This window comes from Homo sapiens, chromosome 5, assembly GCF_000001405.40.
Source record: "Homo sapiens chromosome 5, GRCh38.p14 Primary Assembly".
NCBI classification, from domain to species: Eukaryota; Metazoa; Chordata; class Mammalia; order Primates; family Hominidae; genus Homo; species Homo sapiens.
Window position 1 is genome coordinate 104,645,559 of NC_000005.10, and position 23,777 is coordinate 104,669,335.

Here is a 23,777-nt window from a genome sequence, read left to right on the forward strand (position 1 = left end):
GGCTAGCAGATTGTGAGGTCTCCCACCCAAGAGCTGACCATCTCCTTTTCATATCAATATGCAACACCCTAACAGATATTATTGTTATGCTTGCGCTGGCAGTTTTAGAATTTTCTCTCTGGCTAGACTGTTTCTAGACAAGGCTCACCCAAACTACCACAAAGCATGAATTGTTTGGCAATAAACTTTCAGTAAAACACTAATCCACGTGCGTTGTATGATAGCATTTCTTTCTTCATGTTCCCCCTGGAAAACTATTACTAAAATGATTGTTTGCCTTACAATTTATGGAGCGTTAGAATTAAAGATGTAGGATATTTCCTTGCACTGCTTATCTGGGTAGAACTTAATGCAAAGAAAAGTAAACTTCTATGCTTTAGGGGAAGGTTAGATGATTAGATTAAGAAAACAGGTGACCTAGCTTTGCAAAAGAAGTTGAAGAACTTCACAGCTTAGAAAATTAATTTCCAGCTCAAATATGAGTAGGCATGATTTTCTCCAGTGCTTCCTGCTATCATATGCATTTCTAAAATGCTGCAGAACAGCTCAGCAAGGTTGGCAGACTTGAGGCACTCTGTTTGAAAGCACAATTTTCTCTCAATGCTTAAGGATCACTTTGCAATTGCTGTGATTAATTGAAACAATACATTTAAATGATGCTGAACTGCCACTAGTTTATTAAAGAGGGCAATTCTCTCCCAAAGCCTCTTTATTCCACACCACATGTTCTGATCCCCAAACATACGTGGCAAGATTGCAGGTACTAACTCAGTTTCCATGTATAATCCCGCTTAGAAATGTATCACAATAACTGTTTAGTCTTTACTGTCCCCACTTTTGTGATTATGAGGACATCACATTTAGAGTAGGGCAATTTAAGTTTGTGTTAGCCAGAGCTGGTGATCATCTCTCACCCCTGACCTTCAGGTTAATGAGAAGTTCCTCTGGATAATTGTCCTCTCTTACGACAGCCCTGTACTGTGTAATCTTTATCGCTGTAAAATGACATTTAAAGTTTGTTTTACATGAGCAAGTAGGAGAACATTATTTCTGCAGTGAGCAATAATTATCTGCCTCCTAGCTGAAAATACATGCTGTGGATAAATTGTGTTCATCTGGTAGCCTTTGTTTGCAAGACAAGTTAATTAAAAGAGGAATGTTGAAAAATATGTTTGCCCACTGAGTGCTGACGGAGTAATAATATTACTTTACAAGAAAACATTACATGCAAAACAACTTTGGTTTTGTTCTGAAGTTATGGGAGAAAATGAGGTAAATGTAATGTTCCCACAAGCAAAATTTGATCACACGAAAAAGAATAGATAAGGCAAATTATCTATATTTTAATCAAGCAATAAAGGTCTAAAATTATCTGTACCCAAGTGGTATTTGTACTGTTTAGCCGGGACAAGAAATATTGAATCTAAAAACATGGGCTTATTAAAATATCCAAGTAATTCTTTATACTAAATACTCATATGCCTGGCTGCTACTGGGATCAGTATCTTCACTGAAAATGTAATAACTATTTAATCTGAGCACATAATACAGTTATCCCCCATACGCCTTGCAAAAAGCTTCCTTGTAGCTATACATTAAAAAAGAATTTCCTATTTTGGGGAAGAGACTAATAACTCAAATTGGAATTTATTCAGCTTTTCTGGAAATAATACACTAATTTTTACCAAATGAATTTTCTCTTGTAAAAAGCATCCTAATATTAAACTCTACATTCAGTCACTGGAATCAGAGTTCAGTGCTCACACTTGGTGAAAAATGAATTTATAATTAATATTTTTCTTTAACATTTTCTGTAGCATTTTCCACTTATTTATTTTAGCAATAAATGATCTGCCAGCAGACTTTGTCAACAAAATTTTATAGCCATATCTCCACCTCAAGAAATGGAGGCGCATACTTCCTAAGGTCATGTATCTCTGCAACCAATCAACACTTTCATCTGGGCAAGGCCATCACCACTGAACTGGGGCTTTTCTCCATTGCTATTCCAACTGGTACAGCAATGAGTATGATATTACATCAAAACTCTAACTTTCCGGGGAAAGGCTAAAGTGACATACAATTAGGTTGGTCAATGGCTCTCATTTTGTCTGTTTAGTACAAAAATCTGTTTATAAAATCAACATTTTAACGCAAGTTTATGATTTAAAGTTACACATTTTAATCTTTTGTAATAAGAAATGGCGGTAAAAAAGGTATGGCCCGTTTATCAAGCTTTTCCCAAACTTTCCATGTTTACACTCACTGCCTTTGAAGTACTTTGAAGAAATCTATGGAGAGTCTTTATTTCTAACTCAGACTAGTTGAGAATCTGATAAAAGATAGATAAAGCTTCTCTGAAACCAGCAACATATCCACGGATTTTGCATACAATTTCAGGAGATTAATGAAAAACTTGAAGTTCATGGGTCCATGAATCCAAAGGTGAGAACATCTGAAAAAGATCTTGATATTGTGTCCATTTTAGGGTTCTTACCATCCGTACTCAAAATACCTTCCTTCATTTAACACTATTCCTTTAAAGCTGGTGTGATCGTCAAGCATTTTTATTGTTTTCACTCACTGAAGCAAATTGTTGTGTTCCTGTCAAGGACATTCTTTGTTTTTAAGAATTAATCTTTCCCAAGATTAGGTTGGGAAAGTGTGAGGTGGGAACTTCTAGGTTGTAGTATGAGGTAGAAAATGTGTATTATTTCACTCACAATTTTCCGGCCTTTCTCCACTCATTTCCTCTCCATCACTCTCTTAGGAATCTGCTTCTACTAACAGCTCTTGTTCATTTTATTTTTCTATGAATCCACTCTCTTATGGATGACAGATTTTCACTCCCACATAAACTTTCCTCCTAGTTTTTAGGTGAAGAAACTGAGAACAAATACTCAAATGACTTTCATATGGTTTGTGTAAAGACCCTTGGCCAAGACAGGCAGAGTCAAGACAAGGATCCAACACTGCTAAACTTCCTGATGAGGTTTACAATTTTTCATTTTCACTTTTTTTTTTTTTTTTTGAGACAGAGTCTTGCTCTGTCGCCCAGGCTGGAGTGCAGTGGCGCGATCTCGGCTCACTGCAAGCTCCGCCTCCCGGGTTCACGCCATTCTCCTGCCTCAGCCTCCCGAGTAGCTGGGACTACAGGCGCCCGCCACCACGCCCGGCTAATTTTTTTTTTTTTTGTATTTTTAGTAGAGACGGGGTTTCACTGTGTTAGCCAGGATGGTCTCGATCTCCTGACCTCGTGATCCGCCTGCCTCGGCATCCCAAAGTGCTGAGATTACAGGCGTGAGCCACCGCGCCAGGCCTCATTTTCACTTTTAACTAATGCAATTGATTTCCTTAGTAAAATAATGCTGTAATAATGAAATGTTAGTCAAGTAACCAGAATAATAGAAGTGCCATATGTGGAAAAGAAGGCAACTGACATTAATGCTATTCCAATTATTTCCTGGGTTCTATTTTTAGAGATACATGCCCAATCATATTTTCCATAAATAAATGTGCCTCTAGTTGCACTACTCAAAAGGATAGCTTTGTCTCCATTCTGAACTGAGAAATACATGCCAAAATACTGTATGTAGTCTCTCTTGCAAGTTGTATCACATTTACTTGACAATGGTAAAATGTAGCTATTACTCCATTAAACAATAAACAAATGCACTCATAAATAAACACATGAGTAAAAGAGCATTTATATAATAGTTATGTGCATTTATACATATAAACATTCACACACATGCATAGATAAAGGAAAGATGTGGAATATAAAGAGAGAATCAAAGGGTGATTTTACCTAAATATGCAAAGTATCTGTGAGAAAAAAAATTTAAAATATTGTCAGAAAATAAAATAGATAAAGTGAGGTGGAATGTTCTGTTGCAATACAAAATTACTCTTATAAGGAATCCTGGTCATTAGTATTCAAAAATATGTAATAATTTAAAATAAGTGGGAAAAAGAATGTTTTGACAATAAGACTATATAGCATTTTTATAAATCATTTGCAGTTTTGTAACTACTTATTGCTCTGTAAAATACTACTTCAAAATTGAACGATTTAAAACAAACTTTTACTGTCATGCAACACTTAGCAATGGGAATAGTTTCTGAGAAATGTATCATTAAGGGATTTAGTTGTTGTGTGAACATCATAGAATGTACTTATACAAATCTAGATCATATGGCCCACTACACACCAAGGCTATATGGCCTATTGCTCTGCACTGCATGCTGGTGTACTGAATACTGTAGGCAAGAGTAGAACAATGGTGTTTGTGTATCTAAACATAGAAAAGGTACAACAAAAAATACAGTGTTATAATCTTATGGGACCACCATTTTTTCTAAGGTCTGTCATTAATCAAAATGTTGTTATGCACCCCATCATTGTATTTGTATGATTATTTGGGTCAGAAATTTGAAAAGGACTCAAAAGGACAAACTTGGGCACTTTGTCTCTGATCCAGGTAGTGGCAGCTGAGAGAGTTGGGTCCTAAAGATCCACTTCCAAAATGGTTTCAAAACAAAATAGTTGTTAAGTTTTTATTTCTATGTATATTTATTGATTCTGATTGGCACCATGAGGTTTCTAGATCAGGGAACACAATGATTATTGGCTCACACAGTGATTTTATTACCAGCTCACCACACCCTGATTATCTTTCCAGTTGACACAGTGAGGGCCAGATATACCCTGCTCCTTCAAGAGGCTTGAACCAAAGGAGAGAAACCTTATAATTATGAATTATTGGAGCTTATAAAACTTGCTGATGTAACTACCCCCTCCTCCTTTCTACAGAGAGAAAGAGAGAGAGACAGAGAGAGAAAGAGGCCTAGCCTTTTCTCTGGAATATAAATAAAATGCTCTCCAGGGAGAGGAAGAGATTTCTAGGCCCATCACCATTTGCAATGCAAATAAATGACTCTTGAGAGATACAACTGTTAACCTCTCTGAAGGTCTCTTTCTTTAGGGTTGCTATTTACTGACCTGCCCCTCTTCCCCAGCCCCCAGCAATCTTTGCTTAGAAAGCCCTGACTGTATAGAAATGTGAAAGTAATAACATTATTTCCAAGCACATAATATCTGGCACCTTGGTTCTCCTTGTCCTACTGCTCTCTTTCATTCTCTCTTATTCTCTTTCTCTCTCTGTCTCCATGGCATCTTATATTCCACAGTTCTTCCATGGTTTTTTTTTCTTTTTTTTTTTTTTTCACAATGTGGGGCTCTAACAGAAGCCGTAATTCTTACAGAATAGATGGCTTCCAAGAGGTAGGGAGCAGAAACAGGCACAGCACCTCTTCTGCTTATTCTATTGTCAGAGCAGTCACATGGCCTTCCCGGATTCAAGATAGTGGAGAAATATTCTCCAGCTCTTTATGGGGTGGAGGGAGAGCGACAAGGTCACATTACAGAATTGTGGCTATCTTTGGAAAACACAATCTGCTACACAACATAAAGACATTTTGAAAGAATGGACTTACTAGAACAAAGAAATACTGTAGTTGGATAGTAAAACTCACCATGAAAATAAATAATATACAAATAACTAAATGTCTGATACAGATCAAGGTGCTCCTTAACAAAGACCCAGATTTATTCTGAAAGTTCCTTAGACTGAAGAATAAAACAAATGCTTGAGGGCACAAGGATAGAGTTTAGTCCTTGCAGCACTTGATCTGGCTTAGATAGGTTTGGGGGAGTCTGGGCACAGGGGAGTTCAGCCTACAACATCATTTAGGTAGGGCTCCTTAGATCTAAAAGCTTGATTTTACTTTTAGATAAACGTGAGGCTTGAAGACTTTCTTAGACTGCCTATAGGCCTCTCTGTTTTGATGTACTTCCCAGCCATTTCCATTCTCCAGAGTGTTGGCTATTCTCTGGAGTCTCACAACCATTATGAGAGGCTGATAAAGAAAACTGAGACTGATTCTTTCTTACTACAAAATCTATATTCCCTCAGACTGAGAAATGTTTTTTTCAGTTCTCAAGGTGAGGTAATGTTCTCCCTACAGATTTTAAAAATTATTGCTGAGATCTGAAAATGCTATTTTATTTTTTTCTCCTCGTTTGAAAATTATAGTGGTTAATGTATATTAAATTATAAGTAGAACACAGAAGAAAGATGACAGGTATAAGATGAGAGTCAGAATACTTAGTAGTTCTGGTTCTGCCTCTGTAAGCTAAACAAGTCACTCAAAATTCCTGGCCTTATTGTTTTCATCTAGTCAAGCTGGATCGGGTCATGATCAGTACTGCCCTGAAAAGGCACCAGTGAAGCTCTAAATGCCTGATGGGTCCATAATCTACTTCTGAGGAAAGCAGCTTCCAGCAGTTTTTCCTAAAGATGCTATGTCTCATGCATAAAATATATGTTAAGCAATGCTATGTCCCAGGTCTTAGCTAACATTTATTGAAGGAGCAGATAATGCAAATTTTTTGTAAGCACTATCACGTTTAATTCCCACTCCTGCGCTGTAAAGTATCATTATTCTCTCATTTTAAAAATGAGAAAAGTGTATAGATGCTGAAGGCAAGATGGTCAACTTGGCCAACTAGATGCAGCCAGTAAGCCCTACTTCCACAAAGAAAACCAAAATAGGAAGTAGATATTCGTATTTGGAATAGATTATCTAAGAAAAACACCCCAGAATTTAATGAAGAAGTGAATTTAACAAAGGAAATAACAAAAGGAAAGGATAGGGAGGCAAGGCAGCCTTCTCAGCCAGGAATGGCCAGGAACTGGGAAAAGTTCCCAGACACAGGGAAAGGGTGAGTGACCCCTGCAGGGCTCCACATTCCCTCCATGGAATTTTACAATCCTAGCCACAGGAAAGCAACTCAACTCTTGTGGGTCTGGAGACCAACATAGGGAGCTACATAGAAATTATGCAGAGCATTGCTCCAAAGAGAGAGCTCACACCGAGCCCTACAGGCTTTGGAGCCCTGAGCAGCTGCTGCATTGTGCCACTCTGAGAACTAATCTCTTAAAGGATGGTGTCCTGCCCTGGGGCCAATGCTGCTGATTCTACCACTGGATTAAGGAGGGAGAAAGGAATGCCGGGCACCTTGACACACCCGAAAGACTAATCATACTGCCACTGTTGTGGTCTTTTGTGCGATTCAGACACAAGCAAACCACAAGCCTCACAGCTGTCTACCTATGCTACTCCCACTGAAAGTGGCCCTGCCCTCCCTGGGGACTGACACACAGTGCAGCCACCACTGCCTCCACCTGAGCATTTTGCCAGCAGCGTGGGGACCACTCCACCCATGACTATCAGCTAGCACTTGAATACACTTACAGGTGGCCTGTGGGCAAGTCTGCCAGCCCAGTCCCATCCACCCAGTATACAGTTCAGTATCTCCCACCCCAGTCCATCACCACTGGCATCTCAACCTTCCTTTCAGGGTCTGAGAGTGGGTTGACCAAACATGCCAATGTCACCACAGCTGGCACCCACCCACATGTGACAACAGTAGGCCATGGAACTGGCCTGCCCATCTCATTGCAGCCACTACCAGCACCAAGGCCAGCTGCCTTAACACTGCTGTCGCAATTGTCCACTTCATACTCACTGTCCAGGGGCCCAAGAACCAGTCCACCCCTACCCACTGCTGTCACTACTGGCATATGAGCAAGCCACTGGGAGGCCTAAGAACTGGCCTGCTTTGATTCTGTAACAACAGAGTGAGCATACACAATTCTGGGGCTCAAGGACAGGCACACTCAGCTAACCATTGACGCTACTGGAGCCTGAAGACTCGCCCACCTGGTATTCTAGTCCCAGAAAAGCTTCATCACAGCCCCCACTTATAAGTGCACCCCAAAACACCAAGGAAATCACAGATACTGTTTACAGCTGAAGAAATAACACAGAGACTACATACACTATTGCATGGGCACAAATTCAAAGGCAAAGTACCCTATTCAACCAAAACCACATATATGTCTTCAGGAAAAAATCCTCCCATAAAAAAGCAAATTCAAAAAATTGGAAGAAATGACTATTATACCAGATATGCACATATCAATGTAAGGACATAAGAAATATTAAAAAGGAAAAAAAATGATACTTCCAAAGGAATAAAACCATTCTCCAGTAACAGAACTCAATCCAAGAGAAATTCACAAAATCCTAAAGAATTCAAAATACTGATTTTAAAGAAGCTCAGTAAGATACAAGATAATTCTGAAAAAAAAAAAAAAAAAAAAACAAAGATATCAGACAAACAAGGATATGAATGAAAAATTTACTGAAGAGGTCTATATTTAAAAAAGAACAAAACAGACATTTTGGAATCAAAAAATTCATTGAATGAAATAAAAATATATTTGAAAGCTTCAATAATGGACTAGATTAAGCAGAAGGAAGACTCTCAGAACTTGAAAACAGGTGTTTAAAAATAATCCAGTCAGACAAAAATTAGCAAAAATAAATTTAAAAAGAATGTGCAAAGCATTCATGTATTTGGAACAACATAAAATCATCAAATATTCAAATTATTGGTGTCCCTGAGAGCAAAGAGACAATGAAAGGGTTAGAAAGCCTATTTAATAAAATAATAGATTAAAAAAATCCCCAAATCTAGCAAGAGACTTAGACATTTAGATAGAGGAATCTCAAAGTCCTCCAAACACATATAATGTAAAAAGTCTTCTTTTCAGGGGCCCAACTAAACAGAATTATATTATGGCATATTATAGTCACACTGTCTAAAGTCAGACAAAGAGATAATTCTAAAAGTATCAAGGGAAAAGCATCCAGTCACTTATAAAGGTACCCCAATGAGACCAACAGCATGTTTCTCAGCAGAAATCTTACAGGCCAGGAAAGAATGGGGTGACGTACTCGAAGTGCTGAAAGAATAAAATAAACTGCCACCCAGGGATACTATATCCAGCAAAATTATCCTTCATAAATGGACATGTAACATCTTTCTCAGACAAGAAAATGGTGAAAGAATTCATTACCCCTAGACTGGCATTAAAATAAATGATCAAGAGAATCTTAAACTTTGAAGTGAAAAGATGACATTTACCATAATGAAAACCCATTAAAGTATAAAATGCACTGACAAACCAAAGATGCAACTGAGGAAGAAAAAGGATTTGAATGGTGCCACTACAGAAAACCACGGAACCACAGTGAAAACAACAAGAGAGGGAAAAAAATGTATTTACAAACAACCAGAAAACAACAATATGATTGAAACAAAACCTCACATATCAATAATAACCTGAAATGTAAATGGATTAAAGTCTATGTTTAAAAGATATAGCCTGAGTGATGGATAAAGAAGCATAATCTAAATATACACTATCTACAAGAAATACATTTTACTTGTTAAAAAAAAACCTTATAGACTCAATCTAAAAGGATGCAAAAAGATATTCCACACCAAAAAAAGCCAAAGCAAAAAAGGAGTAGCTATGTTTATATCAGATAAAACAGACTTTTAAGCAACAAAAGTAAAAAAAAAAAAAAAAAGATCATTATACAATGATAAAGAGATTAATCCAGCAAGAGAAAAGAATGATCCTAAATATACATATATGCACCCAACACTGGAGCATGCAGATTCATACAGTAATTATTACTAGAGATAAAGGGAGATATAACAATATAACAGTGACAGACTTCAACATCCCTTTCTCAGCATTAGAAAAATCCTCTAGAAAGAAAATCAATGAAGAAACATTAGGTTTAATCCAGACTTTGGACTAAATGGATCTAACAAACATTTACAGAGAATTGTATACAACTACAGATTGTACATTCTTCTCATCAGCATGTGAAACATTTTCCATGATAGACCACATGTTAGGCCACAAAACATGTCTCAAAAAAATTTTAAAAATCAAAATTATATGAAGTATATTTTCAGACCATGGAATTACACCAGAAACCAATACCAAGAGGAACTTTGGAAACTCTACAAATGCATGGAAAGTAAACAATATGCTCCTTAATGATCATATGGTTTTGCTGTCCCCACTCCCAAGTCTCATCTTGAATTGTAATAGCCATAATCCCCACGTGTGGTGGAAAGGACTCAGTGGGAGATAATTAAACCATGGGACTGGTTTCCCTCATGCTATTCTTGTGATAGTGAGTAAGTTCTCATGAAATCTGATGGTTTTACAAGCGGCTTCCTGCTTTACTCAGCTCTCATTCTTCTCTCTCCTGCCACCATGTGAAGCAAGACATGTTTGCTTCCCCTTCTGCCATGATTGTAAATCCCCTTAGACCTCCACAGCCATGCTAAACTGTGAGTCAATTAAACCTCTTTTCTTTAGAAATTACCCAGTCTTGGGTATGTCTTTATTAGCAGTGTGAGAATGGACTAATACATTGGGTCAATGAAGAAATTAAGGTAGACAGTTTTTAAATATCAGAAAAAAAGAAAATTGAAACACAACATACCAACACTTGTGGGATACAGCAAAAGTAGTAGTAAGAGGGAAGTTTATAGCAATAAATGTCTACATCAAAAAGTAGAAATATTTCAAGTAAACAACCTAATGATACACCCCAAGGAACTAGAACAGCCAGAACAAACAAAATCCAAAATTAGTAGAAGGAAAGAAGTAATAAATATCAGAGAATAACTAAATAAAATAAAGACTAAAAAAGCAATAAAAACTATCAATGACAGAAAAAGTTTGCTCTTCAAAATAATAAACAAAATTGATAAACAACTAGCTTGACTAATGAAGAAAGAAGAGATATAACCCAAATAAACAAATTCAGAAATGAAAAAAGGAGACATTACAGCTAATACCACAAAAATACTAAAGCTCATCAAGACTATTATGAACAACTGTATGCTAACAAACTGGGAAATCAAGAGAAAATCAGTAAATTCCTGGAAACATACAACCTCCCAAGACTGAATCAGAGAGAAATAGAAAACCTGAATAGATCAATTGCAAGTAGTGAGATTGAATCAGTAGCAAAAAGTCTTCCAAAAAGGAAAAGTCCATGACTGGGGGGAATCACAGCCAAAATCTATTAAACATATGAGGAAGAGCTTATACCAATGCTCCTGAAGCTGTTCCAAAAAAATTAAAGAGGAGGGAACTCTCCCTAACTCATTTTACAAGACTGGCTTTAACCTGATGCCAAAACCAAACAAAAACAAAATAAAAATGCTATGGGCCAATATCTCTGAAGAATGTAGAAACAAAAATTTTAAACAAAATACTAGCAAACCGAATTCAACAGAACATTAAAAAGATAATACACCATGACGAAGTGGAATTTATATCAGGAGTGCAAGGGTAACTCAACATATACAAATTAATAAACATCATATATCACATGAATGAAAGACAAAAGCCATACGATCATATTAAAAGATGAAGAAAAACATTTGGTAAGATTCAATCTTCCTTTCTGATTAAAAAAACTCCCAAGAAACTAGAAAAAGAAGGAATATATCTCAAAATAATAAAAGTCATATATAACAAACCCAATGCTAACATCATACGGAATGAGAAAAAGCTTAAAGCATTCTCTCTAAGATATGGAACAAGACTAGGATGGCTATCTTCACCACTCTTATTCAACATAGCACTGGAAGTCCTGGCTAGAGCAGTCAATGCAAGAGAAAATAAATTAATGAAATGTATCAAATTAAAAAAGAGAAAGGCATATTATCCTTCTTTGCTGATATTATTTTATATGTAGATAAACCTAAGAAATAAAAATTCTTAGATTTGATAAATAAATTCTACAAAGTTGCAAGACACAAAACCAACATACAAAAATCAGTAGTATTTCTATGCACCAATAATGAAGTAGCTGAGAAAGAAATCAAGATGACAACTTATTTAGAATAGTTCCAAAAGAAATAAATGCTTAGGAATACATTTAACCAAGAAATGAAAGATTTCTACAAGGAAACTAAAAATAACACTGATGAAAGAAATTGAAGAGGACACAAACAAATGGAAATACATCCTTTGCTAGCAAAGCAGGAGAATTAGTATCATTAAAGTGGCCACAATCCCAAAGCAGTTTACAGATTCAATGCAATCCCTACCGAAATACCAACATCATTTTTTTCACAGAATTAGAAAAAGTAATCCTAAAATTTGTATGGAACCAAAAAGGAGTACAGATAGCCAAAACAATCCCAAGCAAAAACAATAAACAAAGGCATCACACTACTTGACTTCAGAATATATTACAGTGCTATAGTAACTAAACACCATGATATTGGTAGAGAAAACAGATACATAGACCAGTGGAACATATAATAGAGGATCCAGAAACAAATTTGCATGTTCATAACCAACTGATTTTTGATAAGACACCATAAAAATTCAGTGGGAAAGAATGGTGTCTTCAATCAATGGTGGTGGGAAAATTAGATAGTCCACATGCAAAATGAAACTAGACTCTTATCTCTCTTCATACACAAAAATAAACTGAAGATGTATTAAAGACTTAAACATAAGACTTGAAACTATATACAACTACTAAAAAAAACTTAGGGAAAATTCTTGAAGATGTTGGTTTAAGCAAAGATTTTATGGCTAAGATCTCAAATGTACAGATAACTGTAAGAAAAATATACAATGCCAAGTATATTAAACTTAAAAGTTTCTGCACAGCAAAAGAAACAACCTGTCAAGCAGGAGAAAGTATTTGAAAACGATTCAACAGACAAGAGATTCATATCTAGAATATACAAGGAACTCAAACAACTCAACAACAACAACAAAATAACCCCATTAAAAAGTGGGCTAAAAATATGACTAGACGTTTCTTAAAAGAAGACATACAAATGGCCAACAGGCATATGAAAAAATGTTCAACATCGCTAATCATCAGAGAAACGCAAATCAAAACAACAATGAGATATCATCTTACAGCAGTTAGAATAGCTATTATTAAAATGATGAAAAATTCCAGGTGCTGGCCAGGATTTAGAGAAAATGAACTCTTCTACAGGGTTGGTGGGAGTGTAGATTAGTACAACCACTATGGAAAACGGTATACAGATTCCTCAAAAAACTAAAAATAGAACTACCATAGAATCTAGCAATCCCACTACTGCATATTTATCCAAAGGAAAAGAAACCTCTAAACCAAAAGGATACCTGTATGTTTATCACAGCACCACTCACAACAGAAAAGATAGGGAATCACCCTAAGTGTCCGTTGATGGATGCATAGTTAAAGAAAATGTGTTGTATATACACAATGAAATACAATTTGGCCATATAAAGGAATAATATAATATCATTTCCAGCAACAGAGATGGAACTGGAGATCATTATGGTAAGTGAAATAAGCCAGGCACAGAAAGACAGATATTACATGTTCTCAATTATATGTGGGAGCTAATAAACTTGATCTCATGAATATAGAGAATAGCATGATAGATTCCAGAGGCTGGGAAGGGTGTGTGGGTAGGAGATGGGGATAGAGAGAAGTTGATCAGAGGGTACAAACATATAGTTAGCTAGCATAAATAAGCCCCAATATTTGGTAGCAGAATAGGGTGACTATAGTTAGCAACAATGCATTATATATTTCAAAGTAGAAGAGAGGATATCACCAACACATAGAAGTGATACATATTCAAAATTAAGGATACCCCACATACCCTCACTCAACCATTATACATTCCATGCATGTAAGAAATACATGTCCCCATAAATGTGTAAAATATTTTGTAAATATGTAAAATATTTTGTATCAATAATAAATAAATAAATAAAAATAAAGACTAGAAAAGCGAAACACACACAGATCTGTTAAAAACAGTCACTAGGCTTTACTTTGACTCTCACTTTATGAAAGGTGAGTTTTGAAATCTAAAATTGTGAAATTAAACTGGATTTATGTCCAGTGATAGGGCTAATAGAGACTCAAAATATGAATGCATAAATCATTATATTTTCCTCTATTTACTACACATTCCTCCAGATTTTTTAATATGTCATTAAACATCAAGTCCGATGTCAGCATTAGAAAGTATCTAATTTTGTTTCCTAACAAAAGTGAGTTCATAAACTGTGATTTATCTTTCACTGACATTACTACATTAGTGTGAGTTGTTGATAAGCTAATTTACAATGATAGACAAGATCAAGGCTTACCCTAAGGGTGATTTATCATAGTTCCTATATTTGCTAACAGGCTGGCATGTGAAGCCTTTGAAAATATAATGAATTTACAATGTTTACCCATTATCTCACACCAGGTGATTAGTTAACCTATTCCTTGCATATTTACATTCTTTCATATTGAGTTTCAGCAGCAAATATTTAGAGTTGTAATACATCAGTAGAATAAATTTGAAATATTCAAATGTTTAGCCATTGTGAAAATAAATACAATCATCTACCATAATTTATTTTACTTTTAGTTTACTATACTACCTTGCATTCATTTTATGAAATTAATTATAAATCAAGAAAAAAAGCAGCCTACGATTTTAGAGTTCAAAGGAAACCTTAGAAATGATGTTGTTCAACTTTATTTTATAGACAGAACAAATGACAAAAGCTGGGAAGTAATTTGCTCATTGTAACAAAGCTAGTTTGAAACAGGAGTTGGACTAGGTTTCTCAAAATCTTTTAATGTGATAAAAATCCTTTCATTAGTCACTACATCATATTTTCCTGAAATTACGATATTTCCTTTGCATTTATGAATCATTATTTATAACAATGCATCTTCTAGGAAATGGCATTTTTATAAGTGCTTAACATAGTAAATGATACTTTATTCTTATTGCTATTTGATAAAAAGAAAGATACATACACTGGGGCAGTAAAATCCCCCAGAACTATTTCGAGAATAGATGGTAACATTCACATTCAAAAGTTTTAAGAGAGCTATTATTGTTTATAGTGTGCTGTAGATGGCATACATAAAAAAAGGATTGAATATAGTTCATAGAAATAAATCAAAAAATTACATAAATTGCCTATGCCAAAATAAATTTAGGGAGTTTTGGTATAACCAGTTTAACATCACAGTTTAGTTATCAAACACACCATGTTTCAGTAATTCTAGGGAAAATTTATTTTTCACATTTGTATACATGTTGGAATTATCCTCCTAAATTTAGTATATCCCAGCAATCTTTGAATGTATATGTCCATGAAGATTTAATTAAGAAACACAATTCTTTGGGTCATATACTCAACTTTTCTGGCCATTTAAACCCTTTCTGTTTGACTGAATTTGAGCTGAGATGCCCATGGTAATACTAATCTGATGATGTTTGCTGAAATATTAAGGAATGCCTTAATTCTTAGACTAGTCCAATATCTGTCTTAAAAGCTGACCTAGCATATGAATAGAACATTATAGTATTACACGATTTCCTTTGAAGGAATTATGTCGGTGTGAGAAATCAAGCCCGCACTGTAAGTTTGAATTCTCAAAACAAACTTTAATATTTCATGGTTTCATTTATTTTCTATAAGATGTGCCTTTCTGTTTCTAAGTGGAAAAAGACATTAAAAAGTCTCAGTTAAGAATCTTTTGGGATGTGAAACAAGCAGTTCTGAGACAAATAATAGTTTGAGAAATTAAACATGAAAGCATCAGATTTATTATTCAAATTCCTTTGATACACATTTATTGTTTAAAAATTTTAAATTATGTTTTGATCATTACTATGATTTGAATGTGTCTCCCAAAAGTTCCTCTGTTGGAATGTTAATTCCCAATGCAATAAACAGTGTTGGAAGTTGGGGCCTATTAATAGGTGATTTTGCCATGAGGGCAGCGCCCTTACAAATGGCTTAATGGCATCATCACAGGGGCTGGTTAGGTATTATGAGTGGGTTGTTATGAAGTGAATCTGGACTCTAGTGCCTCTCTCTGTCTTACATCTTTATTTGACATTTTGCTATGTCATGAAGCAGCACAAAGGCCCTTGCCAGATGCTGGCACCATGCTCTTCAATTTTCCACCCTCAAGATCTATGAGAAATAAATTTCTCTGCTTAATAAATTATCCAGTCTGTAGTGTTCTATTATAGCAGGAGGAAAGGAACTAAGATAATCATTAACTGTAGATTTTATATATTTTAAATGTAGGATCAACTTGAGATATAAGTTTTAACTTTAAATGTTTATTTTTTTCACAGTGTAAACATAGCTCAACTAATAAAAATTGCAGCCATATAAAATACATTAAGGATATTTATATGTGAATATCTTGTTAAAATTTAGGTGGAATATTAAAGGGTTCCAAATGTAAGCAAAACGTATCTGAGCTGGAATAAAATTATACAACTGGATATGGCATATTTCCAAAACAATTATACTTTTCACAATGTTTCTACTATTCATATCATTTTATAAGTGTGATTGCAGATTAAGGTCCTGGTAGCCAGACCAGAAGAGATGAGGTACATAGAAGAACAAGTAAATCACTGTAGATGACTGAATAAAGGAACAAAGAAATGGAGGAAATTCAAGGTCGTTGTGAAGATTTCAAATCTGGGTTGATGTTACAAGTAAAAGAAAGAGGGAAATCAGACAAGATGAAATGGAGAAAAGCTGTCTGTTTTAGAGAAGTTGAGTTGAGAAGTAAAGGTAATCAATAGAATGCTTTAGATATGGTTCTTAAAGCACAGCAATATGTCAGTTTGAAAATAAGTGTTGGAGACCAATGGATAATTTTATTTTATTTTTCTCAAGCTATGTTTATTTCAGAATGTTTAAAAATCTTTCCTGGCTTATTTAACTATTTACAGAAGTGTATATTACAAATTATTCATTCATCAGTTGTTTCTACTTTGGGGTCATTTCTACTTTTTAGGCTAACGTGAATAACACTGCTATTGAAATTTATGTTGAGGGTTTTTTGAATTTTAATTTTTTTAGTTAAAAAAGTATTTTGGGGGACCAGGTGTGGTGGCTCATGCCTGTAATCCCAGCACTTTGGGAGGCCAAGGCAGGTGGATCATGAGGTCAGAAGTTCAAGACCAGCCTGACCAACAAGGTGAAACGCTGTCTCTACTGAAAATACAAAAATTGGCTGGGCATGGTGGTGCACACCTGTAATCCCAGCTACTGGGGAGGCTGAGGCAGGAGAATTGCTTCAACCCAGGAGGCAGAGTTTGCCGTGAGCCAAAATGGTGCCACTGCACTGCAGCCTGGGTGACAGAGTGAGACTCCGTCTCAAAAAAAAAAAAAAAAAAAAAAAAGGTATTTTTTTAGAGACAGAGTCTTGCTATGTTGCCCAGGCTGGATTCCAACTCCTGGGCTCAAGCAACACTCCTGCCCCTGTCTCCCAGGTAGCTAGGATGACAGGTGTGTGCCAGCATGCCCGACATGTGTGTAAAAGTTTTTGTGTGAACATATTTTCATTTGTAAGAGATATATACTTAGCAGTGAAATTTCTGGGTCATGTGTAGCCATGTCTAACATTTAAAGGAACTGCTAGGTAGCTTTTTATAGTGGCCGCATCATCTTCTATTAAAACCTCGGTGTATGAGATTTCCAATTTCTGTGCATTTTGCCAACATTTGCCTTTACCTGTATTTTTAGTTATAGCCATCCTAGTGGGTATAAACTGGTATCTTATCCTGATTTTAATTTCTATTTTTCAGATGGCTAATGATATTGAGCATTTTATATCACTTTTTTTTTTTGCTGCTTATGTTTTGGTATCATATCTAAGAATCATTTCTCAAACCCAAGGTCATGAAGATTCTTCCCCTAAGAGTTTATCCTCTTAAGAAGTTTATAGTTTTAAGTCCCACATTTAGGACTTTGATCCATTTTGAGTAAATTTTTCTGTATGGATATCCGATTGTCTTAGTAGAATTCACTGGGGGCATTTATACTGTCCACAATTAATTATCTGATATCTTTGTCAAAAATCAATTGGTTATAAATATGAATGTTTATTTCTATTCAATTGATCTATACACCTATTCTTGTGGTGGTACCAAATATTTAATTATTGGAGATTTATAATAAGTCTTGAAATTGGGAAGTGTGAGTCCTTCAATTTTGCTGTTTTTCAAGATTATTTTGGATATTTTTGTGTCCTCGAATTTTCATATAAATATAAGGATCAGTTTGTTAATTTCTCAAAAAAAAATGAGCTAGGATTTTGGTAGAAATTACATTAAATCTGAAGATCAACTTGGTAATATTGGCATTTTAGCAAATAAAGTCTTCTATAAAGATGAAATGTTTTTCTGTATATTTACATTTTAAATTTCTTTCAATAATGTTTTACAAAATTTTAGAATAAGATTTGTACTTCTTTTGTTAAAATGTGATTCATATTTTATTTTATGCTACTAAAAAGGAAACTGCCTTCTAATCTTCATTTTCGGATTGTTCATTACAAGTTTAGAGAAATGCAATTGATTTTTGTGTATTGATCTTAAATCATGCAACCTTGATGAACTCACTTACTAAGTTCTAATAGTTTTACAGTGAAACTCTTAAGATTTTCTGTATACAAAATCCTGTCATCTGCAAATAGACCTCTTTTCTACTCTGAATGCGTATTGTTTCATTTTATGCTTAATTGTCCAATTTAGAATCTCCAATACAATATTAGATAGAAGTCATGAGAGCAGGCATCTTGTTTCTGACTTTAAAGGAAAAGCATTCAGTCTTTCACCATTAGTATGATGTTAGTTGTAGGTTTTACAAAGATACCCTTGCTTAGGTTATAGGTGTTGTGGGACGCAGGTTAAACGTATTTTTTGTGTGTGAAATTGTTTGCTTCTATATTTATAAGAGATAATGTTTTGCTGATTTCTTTGTATGACTTTGTCTTTTCTGGTATTAATTTAATATTGGCATAACTAAATGATATCAGAGGTGTTCTTTTCTCTTCCATTTTTGGAATGGTATATGACAAACTCGTTTAAATCCACTTAAAAAGTTTGAAAATTCACCAGGTAAGTCATATACACTTGGGCTTTTTATTGTGGAAATTTTATTTTTATTAAAAATTCAATCACTTCACATCTTAAAGGTGTATTCAGATGGTCTATGTCTTCTTGAGTCCATTTCAGTAGTTTTTGTCTTTCTAGGTTTTGTATATTCATGTTAGTTATCTTATATTTTGGTCTACGTTTATTCAAGATATTCCTTTCTATTTCTTTTATTTCTACTAGGTCAGTAGAAATGGCCCCTATTTTAATCCTTCTTTTATAATTTGATTCTCTTCTTTATTTTATTTCCTTAATGCAGCTAAAGATGCATCAATTTCATTGATCCTTATTTTAATTTTATTATTGATATATTTAATTCTGCCATTTTACATTGATTGCTCTTGGGCTTACAATATACATCTTTACTTCTGAGAAATTATTTCAGATTTATACTCAGTTCCAGTGCAATAAAGAAATTATCTCTATTCCAATTTCCCTTTACACACAAACACATTACATTTGCAAAAATAAATTGGCATAACTATTGCTTTCTATAATTTCATGTCTATTAAAGAAGATGAGAGAAAAAAGGAGAGTGAGTATATTTTTATATAGTTTGCTATATAGTTGTCCCTTGGTAGCATTGGGGAATTGGCTCCAGGACCTCTTGCAGATACCAAAATCTATGGATGCTTAAGTATCTGATGTAAAAGGATGTGGTATTTGCATATAACTTATGCACATCCTTCCCTATACTTTAAATCATCTCTGAATTACTCATAATATCTAACATAATGTAAATGTTATGTAAATAGTTGTTATACGGTATTACTTAGGGAATAATCATGAGAAAAAAGTCCGTATATGTTTAGTACAGATACAATTTAAAAAAAAATAATTTTGATTCATGGTTGGTTAAATCCACAGATGCAAATCCGTGGATATGGAGGGACAACTGTATTACATTTCTTCTTTTTATTTCTGGTTCCTTTCCTTTTTTCCTTTGGACTCAAATTACCATCTGATGTCAATATTCTTCCTCTAATACAGCTTTAATCTCACCCACATTTTAGTTTTATAATCAAATATGTTGTTATTCTATATGTTAAAGACCCAACAATACATAAACATTTATAAAACTGTTTTAAAATTCATTAAAAGAAAAGGGGAGGAAAAATGTACTGAGTATATTGTCTACCAGTCTGTTAGCAATGAATTATCTCTAATATTTTGTGGATTTTGTTTTTTGTTTTTTTAATCTGGGAATATATTTGACATCATATTTAAAAGACAATTTTCTGTGTATTGTATTCTTGTTTGAGAGGTTTTCTTTATTTTTTCTTTTAGCACTTTGTGTATACCACCTCATTGTTTTTAAGCCTTCATTGTTTAGGTGGGGATGTTAGCAGTTAATCTTATTGGATTCCTTTGTAAATGCCTAGTTATTTTTCTTCTGTTGCTTTTAAAATTTTCTTTTTGTTTTTGTCTTTAATTTTCACTATAATATATTTAGGTGTGAGTCTCTGTATTTATCCTACTAGGAGTTTTCTCAGCTTCACATATGTGAAATTAATATTTTTATGAAATTGTGAGATATTCAGCCATTATTTCTTAGACTATTTTTCTGCTCCTTCTCTCTCCTCTCTAGTACTCACATTATTTATATTTTATGTAATTAATGCTGTCCCTCATTTCTCTGAGTCTATGTTCATTTCCTTCATTCTTTTTTTGATTTTCTTCAAATTGCATAATCTCTATCAAGCTGTCTTTGAGATTATTGATTCTTCTTCCTGTCCACATATTCTGGTGATTCCCTGTGGCAATTTTTTTGTTTTCATTTTGGTTATTGTATGTTTTATTTCTAAAATTTCAATTTGGTTTATTTTCATAATTTCTATTTATTTGTTGATATTCTCTGATGAACATTTCCATCAAAGCTTCTTTACTTCTCTATGCAGCATTTATTTAGTTTTTTTGAAAATTTTTATAATAAATTCTTTGAAATTTTTGTCTGTTAAATCAGCATCTAGGCCTTCTCACAGGTAATTTCTGTTGTCTGCATTTATTCTTATATATAGATTACATTTTCCTATTACATTGTATATCTTATAAATTTTTGTGAAAACTATACTTTTTAGGTATATATACGTATACATACATGTATACATACATGTATACATACATGTATACATACATGTATACATACATGTATACACACATGTATACATACGTATACACACATGTATACATACATGCATATATAGGTATATATACATACATACATGCATATATAGGTATATATACATACATACATGCATATATAGGTATATATACATACATACATGCATATATATAGGTATATATACATACATACATGCATATATATAGGTATATATACATACATACATGCATATATATAGGTATATATACATACATACATGTATATATATAGGTATATATACATACATACATGTATATATATAGGTATATATACATACATGTGTACATATAGGTATATATACATACGTGTATATATAGGTATATATACATATGTGTATATATGTATAGGTATATATACATACGTGTATATATGTATAGGTATATATACATACATGTGTATATACATATGTGTGTGTGTATATATAGGTGTGTGTGTGTGTGTGTGTGTATATATATATATAGATATATAATTTTTGTTTTGTGTTTGTTTCTTTTTTTTTTTTTTTGAGACAGTCTCCCTCTATCCCCCAGGCTGGAGTGCAATGGTGCAATCTCAGCTCACTGCAACCTCCGCCTCCTGGGTTCAAGCATTTTTAAGCAATTCTCCTGCCTCAGCCTCCCAAGTAGCTGGGATTATAGGTGCCCACCACCACGCCTGGCTAATTTTTTGTATTTTTAATAGAGATGGGATTTCACCATGTTGGCCAGGCTGGTCTCAAACTCTTGACCTCAGGTGATACATCCACCTTGTCCTCCCAAAGTGCTGAGATTACAAGTGTGAGCCACCGTGCCTGGCCTAGGTAATATACTAGGTCTAGATACTGATTTCCTTAACTTCCTCCAAGGCTTGTTTATTGTTGGGGTGTGTGTGTGTGTGTGTGTGTGAGAGAGAGAGAGAGACACACACACACACACACACACACACACACACACACAGAGAAAAACAGAGAGAAAGAAACTTGGCTATTTCAGTCATGTCCACATTTCCTGCATGTTAAGCCTCTGGTGCTCTTTCTCAGGAGGTTCTGCCATGGATATGTGCGTAGTCACCCTGAGATGAGATGGTTTTTGTAGAGCTTTCTTTGTGTCTTTCTCTGATTTCTCTTCAGATTATCTGCCTTATTTGGTATTATTCTCAGTCCAGTCTCAGCTAATTTGTGACTGATTGCTCTCTTAATTTCCAAAGTGGCCTCGGACACAAATTACATCTTAGTCTGATCCAATGACATTTAGATCCCTTTGCAGAGATAGGTTTAGAAGCCAGTCTTTGAGGTCTATTCTGACCCCTGGAGTGGTCTATTTAGCTATCTTTTTTTTTTCTTGAACTCTAATAAACTGGTTGGCTTATGATTTAGTTGCTCCTTCTCAATGATCCACCAGCCTCCTCTTAATTACTGTTTCAATCACTCCCTTAGGTTGAAATTTTCTACACTCTGTTTTAAATAAAGTTTTTAAGGGGCACTTTGGAGCTGTCTATTTTTATGAATTACCACATCCCCTGATTGTAATCTTTATGCTAGTGCTCCAGAGTTGCAGGGGGTGGACAGCAGGCTGTTATGATGAATGGGGTGCTGGGTAGGAAGGTAGCCTCTCACTTTCTCAGCTTGCCTTTGCTTATGTGGAACTTCTGCCCTATATGCAAGCTGGGCAGGAGCAATCAGGTCCCCAATATTTTTAGACTGTTGATCCTTGGGTAGGCTCCTTGTCCTATGAGTGGTAGCTGAGTGGGGGAAGTGAAATTCTGATATCGTAGCCACACTAGCTCTTGTATAGCCTTTGCAACTTGAAATTGAGGACAGAGGGTGTGGTATGAAAAATGCCTGCAGCCTGCACCTCCCAATGAGATACTGTTAAAATTGCCAGTACCAAAATGGAGTCACTTAACTTAAACCCTAACAAAATGTAGCTGAGAGCCAATGAAGGAAACGCCCTCATACATACATGTGTGTCACAGAAGCTGCCAAGGAGAACTTTTCTAACTGGAATTTTTAGTTAAACCACTTCTATGAAGACCCTCTTCAAGTAACAATCAGTACCATCAATGAACAGATTTTACCTCCTGCAATAAGCTCTTGTAACAAATGATCTTTCTTTCAAAACAGCTTGCATGGATTCCTCCTTTTTGTCTTTAAAAGCTTCCTCTTGCCACAACACTCTGGGATGTACCTAGGGGCTGCCATAATATGTGAATCCTAGATTGCAATCCTATGCTATTCCCGAATAAACTTTGTTTTTGAGAGTTGGCCTCTCTGCCACTCAGTTTAGGCTGATAATATTGTATTCTTTGAGTGGAATCTGAGGGAAAAGGAGTTGCAGGTTTTGTCCACACATGTCTAGAGTGGAGTTTTGATATGCTGAGCTGGGGGATGCGGTGAGGGAGGGAGCTAGCCTTTGGCCAAGTGCCACAGACCCTCATTGTTTTATCAAGATTCAGGGCCGGGTGCTGTGGCTCACACCTGTAATCCCAGCACTTTGGGAGGCTGAGGCGGGCGGATCACAAGGTCAGGAGATCGAGACCATCCTGGCTAACACGGTGAAACCCCGTCTCTACTAAAAATACAAAAAAATTAGCGGGGCGTGGTGGCGGGCGCCTGCAATCCCAGCTACTCAGGAGGCTGAGGCAGGAGAATGGCATGAACCCGGGAGGCGGAGCTTGCAGTGA

At 35.1% G+C, this 23,777-nt stretch overlaps 1 long non-coding RNA gene across 8 annotated transcripts in view, besides 1 other annotated feature; it reads right to left on the reverse strand.

Annotated features, from left to right (window-relative positions):
* LOC105379109 (uncharacterized) overlaps positions 1–23,777 on the reverse strand; it is a 144,274-nt gene that overhangs the window by 16,029 nt on the left and 104,468 nt on the right. The window lies entirely within an intron of this gene.
* Positions 4,625–5,221: an enhancer, noted in NCBI's record as "OCT4-NANOG hESC enhancer chr5:103985884-103986480 (GRCh37/hg19 assembly coordinates)". NCBI's record gives its function as "activates a minimal SCP1, AML or CMV promoter by ChIP-STARR-seq in naive H9 embryonic stem cells {active_cell/tissue: H9 hESC(naive)}" and the evidence as "EXISTENCE:reporter gene assay evidence [ECO:0000049][PMID:30033119]".